General features: G+C 49.7%; 1 long non-coding RNA gene and 1 other non-coding gene across 2 annotated transcripts in view, besides 6 other annotated features; both read left to right on the top strand.

Annotated features, from left to right (window-relative positions):
• The window catches only part of MIR34AHG (MIR34A host gene), a 34328-nt gene extending 27798 nt beyond the window's left edge, over window positions 1-6530 (top strand). Inside the window, exon 2 of the long non-coding RNA NR_132742.1 lies at window positions 2706-6530. This is a non-coding gene — a long non-coding RNA (MIR34A host gene). The remainder of the gene's footprint in view (window positions 1-2705) is intronic.
• Window positions 2719-2955: a silencer, noted in NCBI's record as "fragment chr1:9211645-9211881 (GRCh37/hg19 assembly coordinates)". NCBI's record gives its function as "represses an EF-1alpha promoter that drives an FKBP-Casp9 reporter gene in an ReSE screen in phorbol 12-myristate 13-acetate-treated (for megakaryocytic differentiation) K562 erythroleukemia cells {active_cell/tissue: K562(+PMA)}" and the evidence as "EXISTENCE:reporter gene assay evidence [ECO:0000049][PMID:32094911]".
• Window positions 2764-2873, top strand: MIR34A (microRNA 34a). The gene has a single exon (NR_029610.1). It is a non-coding gene; the product is annotated as a microRNA 34a (primary transcript).
• Window positions 8960-9059: an enhancer, noted in NCBI's record as "active region_119". NCBI's record gives its function as "activates an Ori minimal core promoter by ATAC-STARR-seq in GM12878 lymphoblastoid cells {active_cell/tissue: GM12878}" and the evidence as "EXISTENCE:reporter gene assay evidence [ECO:0000049][PMID:35858748]".
• Window positions 9150-9199: an enhancer, noted in NCBI's record as "active region_118". NCBI's record gives its function as "activates an Ori minimal core promoter by ATAC-STARR-seq in GM12878 lymphoblastoid cells {active_cell/tissue: GM12878}" and the evidence as "EXISTENCE:reporter gene assay evidence [ECO:0000049][PMID:35858748]".
• Window positions 12017-12311: an enhancer, noted in NCBI's record as "tiled region #7425; HepG2 Activating non-DNase unmatched - State 12:CtcfO, and K562 Activating DNase unmatched - State 25:Art". NCBI's record gives its function as "activates a minimal TATA promoter and a strong SV40 promoter by Sharpr-MPRA in HepG2 cells, with weaker activity in K562 cells {active_cell/tissue: HepG2 | K562}" and the evidence as "EXISTENCE:reporter gene assay evidence [ECO:0000049][PMID:27701403]".
• Window positions 16750-17249: an enhancer, noted in NCBI's record as "H3K4me1 hESC enhancer chr1:9197351-9197850 (GRCh37/hg19 assembly coordinates)". NCBI's record gives its function as "activates a minimal SCP1, AML or CMV promoter by ChIP-STARR-seq in primed H9 embryonic stem cells {active_cell/tissue: H9 hESC(primed)}" and the evidence as "EXISTENCE:reporter gene assay evidence [ECO:0000049][PMID:30033119]".
• Window positions 17250-17751: an enhancer, noted in NCBI's record as "H3K4me1 hESC enhancer chr1:9196849-9197350 (GRCh37/hg19 assembly coordinates)". NCBI's record gives its function as "activates a minimal SCP1, AML or CMV promoter by ChIP-STARR-seq in primed H9 embryonic stem cells {active_cell/tissue: H9 hESC(primed)}" and the evidence as "EXISTENCE:reporter gene assay evidence [ECO:0000049][PMID:30033119]".

Below are 20418 nucleotides of genomic sequence, written 5' to 3'. Positions count from 1 at the left end.
AGGGCCCCCTCCTGTCCTTCTGGTGCCTGGGGCAGCAGCCTTCATGGGTAGATGCCTTCACCCAGGTGGCTGTCTAGATTCAGAAAATGGAATTCTGTTTGGAAGTCTGGGACAGGGGCTGCTGAGCAGTGGAAAGTGCGTGTGGTTTGGCTCAGATGTCCCCGGGATCTTACTCTCTCTCTCTTCTGAACCATCTTTTCCTCTGGGACCGTTTCCGAGCCTGAGGATCGGGCTGGCTGGAAGACTTGGCAGTTGCACTTCACTGTGTTAGTGTTTGCCTGACACCCCTGCCATGCCCACCCCTGAAAACACACGGCCCTCCCTCTGGTGGCAGTGCTGGGGCTGAAGCCAGGAGCCACCATGAGGCCAGATTCCTGCCTCTTGCACCCCATCTCTGGATGGGCCAGCCCATCCCACACGCTTCTGCTGTGCTTACAAAGTTCAAGTGTGCTGTGGTCACTGTTTCCATGTGGCTATCTGTTTTCAGGATTCTGGGGTCCCCTGCCCCGTCCAGTCTTGGCTGGGAGTTGAGGGAGGGAGGAAGCTTTGAGTTTTTGCTTGTCTCTGCGCTGACCTGGGGACACAGCAACTGCAGGATGTACCTTTGGCATCATCCCAGAGCTGCCAAGTCTGAACTTCTAGGTTTGAACCTGGGAATCTGCATTTTACCAAAAGCTCCCCAGCCGATGCTTACACAGTGAAGCCGAGACCTGCCGCTCTAGCTGATGAGCATGCCCTGCTGGAATTTACCTTTGGGTTAAAATCTGACATATTAGGAGCTTTTTTTTTTTTTTTAAGACAGAGTCTCGCTCTGTCACCCAGGCTGGAGTGCACTGGTGTGATCTGCAACCTCTGCCTCCCAGGTTCAAGCAACTCTCCTGCCTCAGCCTCCCAGGTACCTGGAACTACAGGCACATGCCACCATGCCTAGCTAATTTTTGTATTTTTTTTTTTTTTTTGGTAGTAGAGATGGCGTTTCACCATGTTGACCAGGCTGATCTCGAACTCCTGATCTCAAGTGATCCACCCACCTCAGCCTCCCAAAGTACTGGGATTACAGGTGTGAGCCACCACGCCCGGCCTAAGAGCATTTTTCCCACACTAAAAGATAACACAGTCCAGCTGGCTTGCTTTTTAACCAGAGCATTACAGGGTCACCTGTTTGGAGGAGGAGGACTGAGGTCAGAGCAGGCTCCTGTCAACTCCAACGGGACATTTCACAGTGGCCACAACAGGCTGACCTCTGTGTCCTGTGTCCTGCTGACTGTGTGTGGAGGCCTCAGAGGGGCTCTTTCCCCCTTGCACAGAGAGAGACAGCACTGGCTCATGAGCCTGCTTTTTTCTGCACTACCTTACCTGGAACTCAAGTTTCTGGGACTTCCCATGCTGGGGTAGAGGTGACTTTGATCCTCCTGAAAACAGTCCTTCATGCCCCCACACCCACATGGAAGAGGAACTGTTCCGTGGTGGTCCGTATCCAAAGTCACTAGATCTTGGCCTGGCATAGTGGTTCATGCCTATAACCCCAGTATTTTGGGAGGCCGAGGCGGAAGGATCACTTGAGCCCAGGAGTTTGAGACCATCCTGGGCAACATGGCAAGAACCCATCTCTATAAAAACAACAACAACAAAACAACAAGAAGTCAGTAGATCTTAAAGCACTAGATCTTAAACCCTGTGATGGGCAATTTCCTTGTCAATTTAGCGAGGCTGTGATACCCATGATTCAACCAAACGCTTGCCTGGGTGCTACTGTGAGGTGCGTTGTACATGTGGTCAGCACTGATGATCACTGGCTGTAAGTCAAAGGTTCTCCTCTGCGAGGTGGGTGGGCCTCATGCAATCGGTTGAAAGGCCTCAAGAGCAGAACCGAGGTTTCCCTGAAGAAGAAGAAATCCTGCCTGGGGACTGCAGTGTCAGCTCCTCCGGGGAGCTTCCGGCCTGCTGGCCTGCCCTCTGGATTTCAGACTTGCCTAGCCAGCCCCCACAATCACGTAAGCCGATTCCTTGAAATAAACTTAATCTATATCTCCTTCTGGTTCTGATTCTCTGGCAGAACTCTGATCCTCTCCCTAAACGGTGCCCGGGACGGGGGAGGAGTTGGCGCTACTTCATTGCTTCCCTTTCACGCAGACATGCTGACTTTTCAACCACTGTCCTTTTCGAATTTTTTCTCTTCCAGGGAAGTGCTGACTCTTTTTCTCCTTGTCAATTAGTCCTTTTGGAATCTGTTACTGGTCTCAGCCTTCTCCTCCATCCTCTCTCTTTCATTATTTTTATTTTCATTTTGTAGAGACAGTTGCTGAAGGTGGTGGTCTGGCTATGTTAACCAGGCTGGTTTTGAACTTCTCGCCTCAAGTGATCCTCCTGTCTTGGCCTCCAAAATTGCTGGGATTACAGGTGTGAGCCATCACCCAATTTTTATTTTTAGAGACGGGGTCTCACCCTGTCACCCAGACTGGCGCAATCACAGCTCCCTGCAGCCTCAACCCCTGGGCTCAAGCGATCCTCCTGCCCTGGCCTCTCCAGTAGCTAGGACTACAGGCACGCATGTCACCATGCCTGGCTAATTTTTAAAATTTTTTTGTAGAGATGGAGTCTTGCTAGTTGCCTGGGCTGGTCTTGAACTCCTGGCCTGAAGCGATCCTCCCACCTCGGCCTCCTGCATCCTTTCTTTCCTCCCCACATTTCCTTCTTATCAACAGGTGCTGGGGAGAGGCAGGACAGGCCTGTCCCCCGAGTCCCCTCCGGATGCCGTGGACCGGCCAGCTGTGAGTGTTTCTTTGGCAGTGTCTTAGCTGGTTGTTGTGAGCAATAGTAAGGAAGCAATCAGCAAGTATACTGCCCTAGAAGTGCTGCACGTTGTGGGGCCCAAGAGGGAAGATGAAGCGAGAGATGCCCAGACCAGTGGGAGACGCCAGGACTTCGGAAGCTCTTCTGCGCCACGGTGGGTGGTGAGGGCGGCTGGGAAAGTGAGCTCCAGGGCCCCAGGAGCAGCCTGCTCGTGGGTGCGGAAGGAAAAAGGCACAGGGGCTTGGTGTGGGCGGCTTTTGGCTGGGAGAAGTTTGCACGTAGGGAGAATAGTAGCCAGTGTTTGCAGAGCACTTACTATGCAGGAAGGCCTGTCCTAAGTATTGTAAGTGTATTACATCATGTACAAGTGTCTGTGATTAACCCCGTCTTGCAGAGAAGGAAACAAAAGTACAAACAGAAAATGTAACTAAGCATGCAATTAATAAAAAGGGACCAGGTTTTGAACGCGAGCAATCTGGCTCAAGAATCTGCGCCCAACCACCGGCTCCTGTTCTTAGAGATGAACGTGGAGTCCTGGAGACTGCTCAACATTGTGACTTGACTGTGAGCGTACGCGCTCCCTGTCCCCAGGAGACAGATTTCCAGTGCAATCATAGAAAGTGCCTGTGTGGGCTTCGGGAGATGTGTCTGCCTTGGGGAGAATTTTCCTTTTCAGCTAGAGCCAGGCCCAGGATGTTGACGTCAGTGAGACGCTGGTGACGTTCTCTGCTCCAGTGGCTGATGAGAAAAGTTCCTCCAAGCCAGCTCAGTTGAGAAGAATTAAGTTCTCTGGGTCCCACTGGCTTCACCTACAGATGCCAACTTTGAGGCCAGTGAACTGTGAGGCCAGCTGGGCTGATTGCCATGGCAACAGGAATTGGACCAAAGTCACCGGAGGATGGAGAGGGAAGACACAGTGGTGGCTTCCCCAGGTCTTGGACCACAAGGCACAGCCGTGGCCTCCAGGAACCCTGAGATAACCCGTTAGTGGGTCCTGCACTCCAACAGAGCTCATGCAATCAGCCTCTGGTCCTCACCCTCCTCCCATTGGTGTCGTTGTGCTCTCTAACATTGACATTGAGCAGTGAGTGCTCCAGATCTTGTTCCACTGATTTTTTCCACTGTTCTCCAGTCTAGCACTTTCTGAAATTCATCCAAGCCTAAGAGGTGACGCCAAACGTAAGTGTCTTACACCTCGGACCCCATGGACTAAGACAAGCCTCTGGGGTCCATGTGGCACCAAGGATGGGGCCTTCTAGTACCTTTCACACAGGCCAGGGACAGCACCTGCTGCGACCCCCACCCCCAGCCTCTGCTGCTTCTCCCGTTGCCCTTCCAGCCACTGCCCTGGGCACCTCCCCTGCTCCCGCCTCCCTGCCTGGGCCCATCTTTCTTTGCACCTCACCAATTGCGGGGCTTCCTAGTGCTGGAGGGGAAGGGAGCCTGCTTCCATTCTCACCACTCTGAAAGAAGACCCTGCAGAGAGGTTTTCTGGAATTTGGAGCCTAACCTTGGCCTTGACACAGTCCAGATGAGAAGGCCGTCCCCCAGTTAAGCCAGCCCTCCCTCCCTCTCAATGCTGGAGAGGAAACCAGGCAGCTGGTTGCTTCAGCAAACCCCCTCCCTATGGGAATTGTCCTTTTCTTCCTCAAATAGACTGGAGTGCAGAGGACTTGCTTCAGAGAGAGCCCCTTTGTAACGCACATTGCACGGGCCGTGCCCCATGCCCACTCTGCCACAAACTCCCCTCAGCTGCCCAGCCCCGTGGAGCCAGGCGTGGGCTGAAGTGGGGCCAATGAAATGCCTGGAATGCCAGCCGCAGTGACAGGCCAGCACTCAGATGCCTCTCGGGAGTTCTGACCGAAGCAGCACTGAGGACTGCTTCAGAGCAGAAGTCTACGCCATTTTCCCCAGTTCTAGGCAGAAGTAAAGAATGTCTCTACCTTCTCCCAACCAGCAATTGATTCAGAGTCCTGAGCTTTTAAATTAAAGGGACCCCTCTGTTGCTTTATGCAGTAGCCAGCTTATTCATTTGAGTTCAGGTGAAATCATTTTCAAGTAACCTCTTCCTATCCAGCTTTACTTTTAGTTATGCTGACATAAAAACAATAAAAATTGTCCTCCTCAGAGTTCACCTGTAAAAGTTCCTGGATAATTAGTAAGGAAACAGAAAGAGCAGATAGTTGTTGCTTCAGATAAAAGTGATGTCTGGGTTGGGCACGGTGGCGCATGCCTGTAATCCCAGCACTTGGGGAGGCCCAGGTGGATGGATCCCTTGAGCTCAGGAGTTTCAGACCAGCCTGGGCAACATCTCTACAAAAAATACAAAAATTAGCCAGGCATAGTGGCAGGACTGTAGTCCCAGCTACTCAGGAGGCTGAGGTCAGGGGATGGCTTGAGCCCAGGAGGCACAGATTGAAGTGAGCTGAGATTGCGCCACTGTATTCCAGCCTAGGTGACAGAGCCAGACCCTGTCTCAAATTAAAAAAAACTCTTTGTGGTCATTTAATTTACTTCTGCATTCTTTTTTTTTTTTTTTTGAAATGGGCAGTGGTACCATCTCAGCTCACTGCAACCTCTGCCTTGGGGGTTCAAGTGATTCTCCTGCCTCAGCCTCCCGAGTAGCTGGGATTACAGGCACCCGCCACCACGCCCAGCTAATTTTTGTATTTTTAGTAGAGACGGGGCTTTGCCATGTTGACCAGGCTGGACTCAAACTCCTGACCTCAGGTGATCCGCCCACCTCGGCCTCCCAAAGCACTGGGATTACAGGAATGAGCCACTGCACTCGGCCTACTTCTGCATTCCTTAGAGTACATCCTAGCTAGGATATATTCACTTGTCTTTAGAGCTAACAGCAGAAGAAAGGTACCTAGATGCTTATCTAGCTCTTTATCTTTCTAGAAATTCTAGAAGATGAGAGGGGCAGTGGTGGCTCCAAGGGAGTGATTTTAGGATGGACTGGGACAGAGAGGGGCTGCTTACACATACTCACACAGAGGCCATTAATTTAGGGAGTTCAAGGTCCAGGAGGTTGACGGCATCTAGGCCTGTGGCAGAGTGCACTCCTGCTTTGGGGAATGTATGGGCAGCTTCTTGCCTGTAGTTGGAGGGTTAGAGAGAGGGATCAATAATTTCATGGTTGGACTTGAGTTTGGAGCGAGTGGAGTTAGATACAAATTCTATGTTTTTGGAGAAAGTATTTGATCTTCTTGGCTGTGAGGCAAAGCGAGGTTTAAAAATATTTTTCACTTAAAAATATATATATATGCATGTATATTTAATACTGTCTATGGATTGTGCCAATATCTATTTCATGGTTTTGATATTGTGTAGTTATACAAGGAGTTACCACTGAACGAAACTGGGGGAAGGGTACACAGAATCTCTGTACTTTTTTTGTTGTTGTTGCAATTTCCTGTAAATCTATGATTATTTTAAAATAAAAAAGTTAAAGCATACGTATTTACATTTGATTAAATGCAGTGTGATATCCTGGGTTGGATTTTGGAACAAAACAAGGCATGAGTGAAAAAACTGGTAAAATCCAAAAAAGCCTTTAGTTAAAAGTAATACCAGTGTTAATTTCTTAGTTTTGACAAATGTGCCATGGCTGTGTAAGATGCAAATGTTAGAGGAAACTGGGCGAAGAATTTGAGGGAACTCTCTGTACTATTCTTTGCAGCTTTTCTGTAAATCTACAATTATTCCAAAATAAAAGTCTATTAAAAATGTAAGTATACACACACACATTTATATTTGAACACATCTAGGCAGCCAATGCCCTTAAAGAAGGCACTTTCTTCAAACGATGCCTCTGGGATGGGTGAATAATTAAGGGCCCCTTTGACAACTGTGCTGCGGGTTATGTCACTCCCTAATTTGGCTGTCTGGGAAGAGGGAACCCTAGAGAGCTTTTAAAACCAAATAGAGTCCGGGCGCAGTGGCTCACGCCTGTAATCCCAGCACTTTGGGAGGCCGAGGTGGGCAGATCACCTGAGGTCAGGAGTTCGAGACCAGCCTGGCCAACATGGTGAAACCCCGTCTTACTAAAAATACAAAAATTAGCTGGGCGTGGTGGTGGGCGCCTGTAATCCCAGTTACTTGGGAGGCTGAGGCAGGAGAATCGTTTGAACCCAGGAGGCGGAGGTTGCAGTGACCCGAGATCACACCATTGCACTCCAGCCTGGGCAACAAGAGCGAAACTCCGTCTCAAAAACAAAAAACAAACAAAAAACCAAAAAAAAAAAAAAAAAATAGGAACCCTGATCACAAGTCAGAGAGAGTTAATTGTAATACAACCCCATTTTCCAGGCTAGAAACTGAGGCACAGTTGGGAACTGATGCAATTAGATTGTAATTTCCTGGAATATTTAAAACCAAATTATTTTCTGTTTTCCAAGCATGTGCTTGTAAACATACAAAATACAAATTGTAGTAGCTGTGATACATTAAAAAAAAAAAAACGGAAATGACCTTTGGTACTCTACTTAGCTCTCATCAGGATCCGTGGTTAAAATTGGTGGGTGGGGTGAGGATCCAGGCAAAATGCAAGTATTAATTCAGCACTTACCCTGGGCCTTGCACTTGGCAGGATGCTTCCAGGGATGCTCAGGACTAGTGGGCATCAGGGGTTTTTGCTGCCCAGCTTCCATTCCTCTGCTAGCAGCACTACCAGGTACAGTCCAGGGGCCCCCCACCAAGATGCCTGCCCTTCCCTGGTCAAGATGACCCCAACTTCCTGATGGAATGTGAGTCAAGAGCTTAGCGTGCAGAGGAAACATGCTCACAGCTCACTGGCCCCATTGAGAGCTTGCTGTATGTATGTATGTTCGAGATAGAGTTTCGCTGGAGTGCAGTGGCGTGATCTCGGCTCACTGCAACCTCTGCCTCCCAGATTCAAGCGATTCTCATGCCTCAGCCTCCTAAGTAGCTGGGATTGCAGATGTGCGCCACCACGTCCAGCTAATTTTTTTGTGTTTTTAGTAGAGACCGGGTTTCACCTTGTTGGGCAGGCTGATCTTGAATTCCTGACCTCAAGAAATAATATTTTTTTGAGACAGAGTCTCCGTCGCCCAGCCTGGAGTAGAGTGGCACGATCTAGACTCACTGTAATCTTCGCCTTCTGGGTTCAAGCAATTCTCCTGCCTCAGCCTCCCGAGTAGCTGGGACTACAGTCACACCCCACCATGCCTAATTTTTGTAACTTTGTTAATAGTAGAGACAGGGTTTCACCATGTTGCCCAGGCTTGTCTCGAACTCCTGGCCTCAAGTGAACCGCCTGGCTCAGCCTTCCAAAATGCTGGGATTACAGGCATGAGCCACCGTGCCGGGCTGAAACTCACTACCTGATACACCTCCCGTGTGGGGAGGGTAGGGGGAAGGAGCAGGAAGAGGAGGAGGAGGAAGGGGGCGGGGGGAGGAGGAGGACGAGGAGGAGGAGGAGGAGGAGGAGAAGGAGAAATGGACTCTCACTCTTCACGCCAAGTGCCCCTCATTGTGTTCATCATCCCCCAAGGCTGAGCATTACCTGAGGCCACTGTGGACCAGCCCCTTCCTCTTCCTCTGTTGGAACTGAAAACATCAGAGTAAACTACCAAATATGAAGGCCTCTGGACTCCAGCCGAGAAGTGCTTTGTGTACTCCCGAGTATTTCTGCAGCAGTGGTGCAGGCTGGTGCCACCTCTTCCCTGCCAGGACCCCTTGATGCTGCACCATTGCAAAACAAAGCATGTCTTAGTCTAATTTTCTTTTCCTTTTTTTTTTTCCTGAGACAGGGTCTTGCTCTGTTGCCCAGGCTGAAGTGCAGTGTGCGATCATGGCTCACTGCAACCTTGACCTCTTGGGCTCAGGCGAGCCTCCCACCTCAGCCTCCTAAGTAGCTGGGACTACAGGTGTACGCCATCACACTTGGCAAATGTTTACATTTTTTCTAAAGACAAGGGGTCTCATTATGTTGCCCAGGCTGGTCTCTAACTCCTCGACTCAAGCAGTTCTCCCACCTCAGCCTCCCAAAGTGCTGAGATTACAGGTATGAGCCACCACACCTGGCTCTAATTTTCATAACTGCGACTGAAATCACAGCTGATCCCATCTGTCTTTAAATTAGTAACCTTGAGGGGGTTGTCTTTCTTGGCCGGCAGTCACTTACTCCTGAAATGAATCTGGTTAGAGAGCAATCTGGTCAGGAGAGGAGAGATGAGAAGAAATGATCAACAATGTGGGAGCCTCACAGAGTCTCCCCGTGTCTGGCCTTGGAAGCTTCCACCTCGCTCAGATCAGACCAGGCAGCCGACTGATGAAAGGCCCTCCTGATGACTCAGTGGCTCCTGGTGACGTCACTGTGCCCTGGACACCTTTCGGCCTGCCTGTTCCTCTCTCTGCTGTCCCCCAGCAGCAGAGCTGGCTTCATGGGTGTGCAGCCTGGATGGCCACACAGGGCCCGGTGCCTGAGGGGTCCACGTTCGGGGTGCGGCTATGTTGAAATATGTGAGGGTTTTTGGATGAGGGTCCTGTGAACGGAGGAGCTGTCTCTGCCCAGCGGCCTTCCACAGGGCTCGGCTGCAGGCCACGGGGATGCCACCATCCTGCACCAGCCCGGGTGGGATCAGGGCTTGGTACCCACTTCCCAAGAGGGCCGGAGTGAGTAGGGCTGAGTGAGATCAGAATCCTCCCTCTCACCAAACCCAGGGCTGCCCCGGGACACACACACATAGAGAGCCCCAGGCCCCCTGTACAGGCTGCCTCTGGTCCCCGTCAGAAACTCCTACAGGTAGTTCCTCAGGATGTAGGAAGGGATCTTACTGGTTTAGTGAGTTGTATCCATTTGCAACCTCCGCCTCCCAGGTTCAAGTGATTCTCCTGCCTCAGCCTCCCAAGTAGCTGGGAACACAAGTGTGGCCCATCACACCAGGCTAATTTTTGTATTTTTAGTAGAGATGAGGTTTCACCATGTTGGCCAGGCTGGTCTCAAACTCCTGACCTTAAGTAATCCACCTGCCTTGGCCTCCCAAAGTGCTGGGATTACAGGTATGAGCCACCGCGCGCGGCCCCGCCAGGACTCTCTGCTCGGCTTGGAGATGCTGTCTTCTCCTTGTGTCTCCACTGGTCTTCCCTGGGTTCTTATCTGTGTCCATGTTTCCTTTTTTTTTTTTTTTTTTTTTGAGACAGGGTCTCACTCTGTCGCCCAGGCTGGAGTGCAGTGGCATGACCTAGACTCACTGCAGCCTCAACCTCCCAGCCTCAATTGACTCCCCGCTTCACCCTGAGTATCTGGGGCTATAGGCGTGCACCACCATGCCTGGCTAATTTTTTTGTATTTTTAGTAGAGATGAGGTTTCACCATGTTGCCCAGGCTGGCCTTGAACTCCTGAGCTCAAGCGATCTGCCTGCCTTGGCCTCCCAAAATGCTGGGATGACAGGAGTGAGCCACTGCACCGGGCCCATGTTTCCTCTTAAGGACACAATCATATTGGTTTAGGGTGCAACCTAACGATCTCATTTTAACTTAGTTACCTTTTAAAGACCCTATCATCAAATACAGTCATATCCTGAGGTAATGGAGGCTAAGATCTCAAAATATGAATGGGGGGCTGGGCATGGTGGCTCACACCTGTAATTCCAGCACCTTGAGTGGCTGAGACCAGCCTGGGCAACATAGTGAGACTCCATCTCTACAAAAAATTTTTAAAAAGTATGGCCGGGCACGGTGGCTCACACCTGTAATCCCAGCACTTTGGGAGGCGGAGGTGGGCAGATCACCTGAGGTCAGGAGTTCAAGACCAGCCTGGTCAACATGGTGAAACCCCATCTCTACTAAAAATACAAAAATTAGCCGGGCGTGGTGATGGGCACCTGTTATCCTAGCTACTAGGGAGGCTGAGGCAGGAGAATCGCTTGAACCTGGGAGGCAGAGGTTGCAGTGAGCCAAGATTGCACCACTGCACTCCAGCCTGGGTGACAAAACGAGACTCCGTCTCAAAAAAAAAAAAAAAAAAAGAAATAAAAATAAAAAATGTTTAAAAAGCATATGGATGGGGAGGGGGGACAATTCAGCTCATAACAGGGATCCTTCTGGACACTCAGAACCAAGCTTTAATAGCTTGACAATGTCTTTCAGTCTGAAACACAGAGATGCTGCCAACCCAGGGCCTGCCCCTCCATCGCAGGAAGAGGCCACACCATGAGCCTCGTGCCAGCAAAATGTGGCTGTGGTTGCTTGCTCAAGGGCAAGGCTGATGGGTGTTACTTCACCCTGGCTTTCAGAGCCACAGGAAGAGGCTGTGCAGGGAATGGGAGTCAGCTGTTCCCCAATTCCTGTGGTGCCTGAGCAAAAGAACAGGAGTGAGAGCCCAGGGCTTGGGGCAGACATGGGCAAGACGCTCATGTGTGTGGGAATGGCTGCTGGAAGCCCGTGCGCGGTCACCAGGGGTCTGGGAGGCAGGGGCCACGCTGTGACAGTGGTTCCCAAACAGCCCAGGAGCTCTGTAAACCTTAAGGCTCTGAGCGCCCATATAGGGCAGGGCAAGCGTCTGTATCTTTAGAGGGCTCCCAGACAGGGTGCAGAAATGACTTGGGTCCCGAGATGATCACTGCAGTCGCTGATGGCTCTCTGGGGGTTCATATACTTTCGTATGTTTGAAATTTTTCATAACAAAAAGTTAAAAGGGAGGAAAAAAGGAAGGAAGGAGGGAGAGGGAGAAGGGAAGGAAGGATGGAAGACAGGAGGGAGGGAGGGAAGAAGGAAGGAGAGAGGGAAGGAAGGAAGAAAAGAAAGGAGGGATGGAAGGAAGGAAAGGAGGAAGGGAGGGAGGAGGGATGGAAGGAAGGAAAGGAGGAAGGGAGGGAGGAAGGAAGGAAGGAAAAAAGGAAGGAGCGGCTGAGCACAGTGCTCATGCCTATAATCTCAGCACTGTGGGAGGCCGAGGTAGGAGGATCACTGGAGGTCAGAAGTTCAAGACCAGCCCGGCCAACATGGTGAAACTCTGTCTCTACTAAAAATACAAAAATTAGCAGGTGTGGCACGCACCTGTAGTCCCAGCTACTCGGGAGGCTGAGGCAGGAGAATCGCTTGAATCCAGGAAGTGGAGGTTGCAGTGAGCTATCGCACCACTGCACCCCAGCCTGGCTGGGCGACAGAGCGAAAGAGTGAGACTGTCTCAAAAAAAAAAAAAAAAAAAAAAAAGGAAGGAGGGATGGAAGTAAGGAAAAAAAAAAGCTCCGGGAGGATTCTGATGCGAGCCCCTGTCAGGATGAAGGCGGGAGGGAGAAGCCCTAACCTGCCCAGGGCTTCCTGTGACTCGGGTGAAGCAGTGCCTCCTGGTGGTGAGAAGGCAGAACTACTGGTATAAACTGGTCGTAACGTGCAGACTGGGTGTGAATGTGGGGCCAGGACAATGTGTGTCGTGGGGTTGACTAGGGGGAAGCTAGGCAAGCCTTTGGAGCAGGCCCACAACTTTGGTTATACCACAAACCCCTTTGTCAGTCCAGTGAACTCTCTGGAGTCTCAGGATAAAGGCGTAAATTACATGGGATTACAAAGCTAACCAATCATAGTGAAATACAATGATTGAAATACTTGATAAAGCCAAATTTGGTATAGCGTGTAGATATGACAGTAGTAGTATGTCACAGTAGATAGCAGTAATGTGCCAATGGGAGTATTAGCACATTAAGTAATATCCAATAACAACTGGTCTAATAACTATAACTTAAAAAGTAGTGAGGAGAATTCATGATATTTTGCAACAACTCCAACATATAAAAAATCTGCAATTTATATTGTTAAAAGAATCATACGTACTACTAGAACAAACAACAAAAACCTCCCAAAGACCAGGCATGATGGCTCACACCTGTGGTCCCAGCACTTTGGGAGGCCGAGGCAGGAGGATCCCCTGAGCCCAGGAGTTCGAGGCTGCAGTGAGCTATGATCGCACCATTGCACTCCAGCTGGGGCAACAGAGCAAGACCCTGTCTCAAAACAAAGCAAACAAAACAAAACAACCTCTTGAAACTTATTGCCCATCTTTATTCATGAATAAAGAAAATGGGCGATTGCTATGAGAAGTCGGTAAAAACAAAGAAGTGCCTGGTCGCCCTGCAGGTGCTGGACCGCCAGCTGAGATCCTGCCTTAGAAAGGCAGCCAAAGGCCCACTGCACTTCCCTGTCATCTGGCTGCTCCATATTCCCACTATGTGTTCCACAAAGATTGATTGAGGGCCTACTGTGTGTGGCAGACACTGCACAATATAGACCAGATATCTGCCCTCAGCAAGCATGCATTCTACAGGGACAGATGATAAGCCAACAATACACAGAACATATTCTACCAGCTCATCTTTTTTTTTTTCTTTTTTTTTTTTTTTTTTTGAGACAGGCTCTCACTCTGTCACCCAGACTGGAGTGCGGTGGCAAACCACGGCTCACTGCAGCCTTGACTGCCCAGGCTCAAGCAATTCTCCCACCTCAGTCTCCCGAGTAGCTGGAACTATAGGCATGTGCCACCAAACTTGGCTAATTTTTTTTTTTTTTTTTGAGATGGAGTTTCACTCTTGTCACCCAGGCAGGAGTGCAATGGCGCGATCTTGGCTCACTGCAACTTCCACCTCCTGGCTTTAAGCGATTCTCCTGCCTCAGCCTCCCAAGTAGCTGGGATTACAGGCGTCCACCACCATGCCTAGCTAATTTTTGTATTTTTAGTAGCGATGGGGGTTTCACCATGTTGGCTAGGCTGGTCTCGAACTCCTGACCTCAAGTGATCTGCCCATCTCAGCCTCCCAAAGTGCTAGGATTACAGGTGTGAGCCACCGCGCCTGGCTAATTTTTTAAATTATTTGTAGAGAGGGGGTCTCACTATGTTGCACAAGCTGATCTCAAACTCCTGGGCTCATGTGATCCTCCCGCCTTGGCTTCCCAAAGTACTCAGATTGCGGGCAAGAGCCACCGTGCCTGGCCTAGCTCAACATTTAAGTAAGACGTTCCTATTGAATACATTATGTAATATGTAACAATGTTTTGTGCGTAACTGATATATAGTACTTATTGAAAGTTTCCTTTTAATCCCATTTGCTTTAAAGTCAAGAGTTTTCAGCCTAGTTTAGCCAACGTGCATTCAGTCCGCTTTTACAAAGCAAAAGAAATCTCATATCCTCTGGAAGATTCTGAAGGGCTTCTGGGGAGGGGAGACACTCGTTCCTGCTATCTTCCCCCTCAACCAGTATTAAGAATCACTGCTTATTCATAGCAGCGCTCTTCACCATAGCCAAGAGGTGGAAACAGCCAGGTGTCCAGGAACAGACGAATAATAAACAAAAGGTGGTCTATCCACACAATGGAATATTTTGTGGCCATAAGAAGGCATGAAATTCTGACACATGCTATAACATGGACGAACCCCAAAGACATTATATTGAGAGCCAGACACAAAAAGAACAAACATTGTAGGATTCCACTCACGTGAAACATCCAGAATAGGAAAATTCATGGGGACAGAAAGTAGAATCAGGGTTACCAGGGGCTGGGGGGAGAAGGCCATGGGGAGTTATTGCTTAAGGGGTATGGGATTTCTGTTGGAGGTGATGGAAATGTTTTGGAAATATGGTTGCACAATATTGCAAATGTCATCAACACCACTGAATTGTATACTTTAAAATGGTTAAAATGGGCCAGGTGCAATGGCTCATGCCTATAATTCCAGCACTTTTCTTTCTTTTTTTTTTTTTAGATGGAGTCTCGCTCTGTCATCCAGGCTGGTGTGCAATGGTGTGATCTCAGCTCACTGCAACCTCCCACAGTGATTACAGGCACCCACCACCATGCTAATTTTTCATATTTTTAGTAGAGACGGGGTTTCGCCATGTTGGCCAGGCTGGTCTCGAACCCCTGGCCTCAGATGATCTGCCTGCCTTCCCTCCCAAAGTGCTGGGACTACAGTTGTGAGCCACCGTGTTCGGCCTGCCCACTGGTGTTCAATCATGGCAGCCCACGGCACACCTCTGCTCAGCCCTGCAGTGACTCCCGTGTCCCTTGGTGTATCCAAGCTGAAGTCCTCACACTGACTTTGAGCCCTGCATGATCTCTCCTCCTCACTGCCCCAAACCCCTCTGCTTACAGAATTCCCCTCATGCTCTAAATCTCCCTGACTTCCTTTTTCGCTACTAGCCAAATAAAACCCTGCTTTTAATTAGTTAATTAATTTCTTTTCTTTTTCTTTTTTTTTTTTTTTTTTGAGACGGGTCTCACTCTGTCGCCCAGGCTGGAGTACAATGGCGTGATCATGGTTCACTGTAATCTCGAACTCCTGGGCTCAAGCAACCCTCCCATTTCAGCCTCCTAAGTGGCTAGAACTACAGGTGTGATGGAGTGGCTAGGACTGCAGGTGTGAACCACCACGCCTGGCTAATTTTTAAATTTTTGTAGGGATGGGATCTTGCTATGTTGCCCAGACTGGTCTTGAACTCCTGGCCTCAAGCCGTCTTCCTCAGCCTCCCACGTTGCTGGGATGAAGATGTGAGCACCACACCTGGCACCAAACTCTGCTTTCATAGATTTCACCTGATTGGGCCAGACCAATCTGGGTCATCTTTGTTTTTTTGTTGTGTTTTGTTGAGACAGAGTCTCACTCTGTTGCCCAGGCTGAAGTGCAGTAGCCTGATCATGGCTTACCTCCTGGTCTCAAGTGATTCTCCTGCCTCAGCCTCCCAAGTAGCTGGGACTACAGGTGTGTGACATCATATCTGGCTAAATTTTAAATTTTTTGTAGGGACAGGGGTCTCACTATGTTGCCCAGGCTGGTCTTGAACTCCTGGCCTCAAGCGATCCTCCTACCTCAGCCTCACAAAGTGTTGGGATTACAGGCATGAGCCACCACACATTCTGTTAATCTTTATATCTCTTTATATCTTAAGATCCACTGAAACAAGACTTTTTTTTTTTTTTTTTGAGGCGAAGTCTCACTCTTGTTGCCCAGGCTAGAGTGCAATGGCATGATCTCCGCTCACTGCAACTTCCACCTCCTGGGTTAAAGCGATTTGCCCACCTCAGCCTCCAGAGTAGCTGGAACTATAGGCATGCGCCACCATGCTCGGCTAATTTTTTGTATTTTTGGTAGAGACTGGGTTTCACCATGTTGGCCAGGCTGGTCTCAAACTCCTGACCTCAAGGATCCTCAAGTGATCCGCCCGCCCAGCCATGGGACTTTAATTACATCTTCAAAATGCTAGCCAGGTGCAGAGGCTCATGCTTGTAATCCCAGCACTTTGGGAGGCCAAGGTGAGCGGATCACTGGAAGTCAGGAATTCAAGACCAGCCTGGCCAACATGGTGAAACTCCCCCTCTACTAAAAATGCAAAAATTAGCTGGGCGTGGTGGCGCACGCCTGTAGTCCTAGCTACTCGAGAGACTGAGGCAGGAGAATCACTTGAACCTAGGAGGTGGAGGTTGCAGTGAGCTGAGATCATGCCACTGCACTCCAGCCTGGGCAACAGAGTGAGACCCCGTCTCAAAAAAAAAAAAATTAGCTGGGCATGGTGGCATATGCCTGTAATCCCAGCTACTCAAGAGGCTGAGGCAGGAGAATCGCTTGAACCCAGATGCAGAGGTTACAGTAAGCCAAGATCACACCACTGCACTCCAGCCTGGGCAGCAGAGCTAGACACCGTCTCAAAAAAAAAAAAATGCCCCCACATCAGTACCTAGTTTGGCATTTGGTTGAAAAACCAGGAGACAGGAATCTTGGCTGGGGAAGGGGGAGGTTTAGAATTCTGCCCATCAAGGCCGGGCGCAGTGGCTCACACCTGTAATCCCAGCACTTTGGGAGGCCGAGGCGGGTGGATGGCTTGAGGTCAGGCATTCAAGACCAGCCTGGCCAACATGGTAAAACCACATCTCTACTAAAAATACAAAGATTAGCTGGACATGGTGGTGTGTGTCTGTAATCCCAACTATTCAGGAGGCTGAGACAGGAGGATAGCTTGACCCTAGGAGGTGGAGGTTGCAGTGAGCTGAGATCCTGCCACAGCATTCCAGCCTGGGGTACAAGAGCAAAATTCATCTCAGAAAAAAAAAAAAAAAAAAGAAAGAAAGAAAATTCTGTCCATCAAATGGGGCCCGGACAGAAATTCAGGGGTAGATCCTGGGTCTTCCACTAACTCATAAAACCTCTCTTCTGGTACCAGCAGCATAAGCCAGTCTTACCTGCAAAACAAGGCTCTGAGTAAAGGTAGAGAAGAAAATAACCTTTCCCTTTAGCGGCTTAGCTGTTCTTTCATTAGTCTGGCTCCTCTTCACCTGGGCAGCTGGGAACCACGGGGCAGTGGCCACACCGGGAGCCGCTGCAGTGGAATGGCCACCAGGACCAGGCTGTTTCTAAGGTGCGTGCAGGTCAGAGGGCCGAGTGCACAGCAAGCGAGGGCAGCAGCCTTCAATGTGTGGGGTGGGGAGGGCGAGGCTCAAGGTGATCAGGGAGAGGTTAAACACATCACATTGAGACCCGAAGGCTCCTGGAGGAAAATACACCCACGAGATGGGGCCCCTTGAAGAGGAGGCTCCTGACTCCAGCAACGGTGCTGGCCGGGCTTGCCCTGCTCTTTATCTGTGTGGCCCAATGGTCACGTGAACATGCCCAGGGGTTGCAGGGCCCCCTTGGGGATGCTGGAGGTTGATGGTTGCTCACTGTGATGGTTAATATTGAATGTTAACTTAATTGGATTGAAGGATGGAAAGTATTGATCCTGGGTGTGTCGGTGAGGGTGTTGCCAAAGGAGATTAACATCTCAGTTAGCGGGGTGGGAGAGGCAGACTCACCCTTAATCTGGAGGGCACCATCTAATCAGCTGTCAGCTCGGCCAGAATAAAAGCAAGCAGAAGAACATGGAGAAGGCCAGGCACGGTGGCTCATACCTGTATATAATCCCAGCACTTTGAGGCAGGTGGATCACCTGAGGTCAGGAATTCCAGACCACCCTGGCCAAAATGGTGAAACCCTGTCTCTACTAAAAATGCAAAAGTTGCTGGACATGGTGGCGTCACTGCACTCCAGACTGGGTGACAGCATGAGACTCTATCTCAAAAAAAAAAAAGAAGAACGTGGAGAGATTAGACTGCCTTAGCCTCCCAGCCTACATCTTTCTCCCATGCTGGATGCTTCCTGCTCTCGAACATCGAACTCCAAGTTCTTCAGCTTTGGGACGCAGACTGGCTTCCTTGCTCCTCGGCTTGCAGACGGCCTATTGTAGGACCTTGTGATTGTGTGAGTTAAAACTCCTTGGCCGGGTGCGGTGGCTCACGCTTGTAATCCCAGCACTTTGGGAGGCTGAGGCAGGCGGATCAGGAGATCGAGACCATCCTGGCTAACACAGTGAAACCCCGTCTCTTCTAAAAATACAAAAAAAATTGGCTGGGCATGGTAGTGGGTGCCTGTAGTCCCAGCTACTCGGGAGGCTGAGGCAGGAGAATGGCATGAACCCAGGAGGCGGAGCCTGCAGTGAGCGGAGATCGCATCACTGCATTCCAGCCTGGGCAACAGAGTGAGACTCTGCCTCAAAAACAAAAAACAAAAAAACAAAAAACTCCTTAATAAACTCCCCTTGGCTGGGCGTGGTGGCTCACGCCTGTAATCCCAACACTTTGGGAAGGTGAGACAGGTGGATCATCTGAGGACAGGAGTTCAAGACCAGCCTGTCCAACATGGAGAAACCGTGTCTCTACTAAAAATACAAAAATTAGCAGGGCATGGTGGCGTGTGCCTGTAGTCCCAGCTACTCGGGAGGCTGAGACAGGAGAATCGCTTGAACCTGGAAGGCAGAGGTTGCAGTGAGTTGAGATTGTACCACCACACTCCAGCCTAGGCAATAGAGCAAGACTCCATCTCAAAAAATAAAAAAATAAACTCCCCTTTATATTTACATCTATCCTATTAGTTCAGTCCCTCTAGAGAACCCTGACTAATACACTCACCATGGTCCCCAGGCAGGAAGGAGCACCATGAGTTCCCTCCCTTCATGATTTGGGCAGTGATCAGTGGCAGAGCCTGTGCCACACACACCTTTCAAACAGGGAAATGAGGAAGGTGGCCAGCCCAAGCTGAAAGTCCCTCTTCTGTTCCAGTTTTAAAAACCACATTTGTGGCTTGTGACTTATGTTGGAGTTGACCTCAGAAAAATCATTTCAGGTTCCTCCAAATGAGAGACACCAAACTGTCACCTCTATTGTACTTGTCAGAGGAGAATCTCATGCCAGTTCCTGGGGTGAGAGAAGGAGGAAGAGAAAGCAACCCCAAAACTAGCCTTCTCCGGGGGCTGCTCGCCACTGTGATGGGGCCTTTCTGGGCCCTAGCTCTGCAGCCAGGAAACTGGGGTGAAGCGAGGTTGTGATGATGTGTGAGGACACGGGACACGGCCCCTTTGGACGCTGGACATGGAGCGGCAGACAACTGCCAGCTGGCTTGGCACAGCTACTAGAGAAACAACTCGGGGTCCAAAGAAGATGCATCTGGGTTTCTTACCAATTCCCCCAAAGAATGAGGCGGGAGAGGGGGGCCTGAAAGACCGGAAATTGAAAATGTGGCTAATGGGACATCACATGCCATATGGGGCAGGGATCATCAGAGACAGCTCAGAGCCTGGAGTTTCTCTAGGTTTATTCTTCTCAGTCAGACCTCCCCAGAGTCCCCCAAGGAGGAGTGGAGCCCCAGGAGCTCTGAGAGTCCCAGGGTCAGGAACCCCAAGCTCCCTTTAGTGGAGACCGTGCTGGGCTACTTGAGATCACCCAGCAGCTGCGGTGGGAGTCACAGTTCCCACCTCCTGATAAATGCCTGGATCCGTCTAGACAATGTCCGTGACCCTGGACAGTGTAAAATTAGCTTCACGTTTAAATCTAAGCAATCTGAAGCTGTATCATTGCGTGTCTTTCACATTTTTTCCCTAGGTATAGGAAGTATGAAAGTTCTTTGAATGTTGTTTTCCAGTGCAAAGAAAGCCAAGCAATTTCCTGATCAAAATTGTCTGTAAGCAAGGTGGGAGGTGGGGAAAAAAAATTAAAAAAAAAAAAAGCTTGTAAAATAGCCAACCGCTCACTTGGAGATTTAGGCGAAGCACTTCAATCTCAATAAAGCAGGAAAGATATAGTCAAAATTGATCTGCTGACAAAGCAGGTTGCTACAAGACCTCTCCTGTGCCCCATCTCCTCCCCCCTCTCCCAAATACCCTAACGATTAAATGACCGAGCTCTAGGGAGGCAGAATCCATTCCAGACTCTTGCCTTGCCATAGTCCAAAGCCCCAGGCTGATTGCAAAAGCCAAACTTGCAGCTATTTCCATCAGTGAAAAGCTGAGAGGCTTCACTGACAGAACTCTCAGCCAGGTTCTGTTTATGGTCTGGGGTCCTCTTAGGAGGAGGTCAGGGGACTTTTGAATGATCACAAGTGACTTGGAAGGAAAGCAGCCGCTCTTAACTCTCTGCAGAACAAACTCCACACATGTTTGCTCACAGTGCTGATAACTGTGTGTAGTAACTTTTTTTCTGATTAAAAAAGAATCTATGCTTATTCCAGCATTGCTTATAATAGCCAAAACCTGGAAACAACCCAAACGTCCAAAAGCAATAGAATGGATAAATACACAATT

The sequence above is a fragment of the Homo sapiens genome, chromosome 1 (assembly GCF_000001405.40).
Source record: "Homo sapiens chromosome 1, GRCh38.p14 Primary Assembly".
NCBI classification, from domain to species: Eukaryota; Metazoa; Chordata; class Mammalia; order Primates; family Hominidae; genus Homo; species Homo sapiens.
This window is presented reverse-complemented; position numbering and strand designations above follow the sequence as displayed.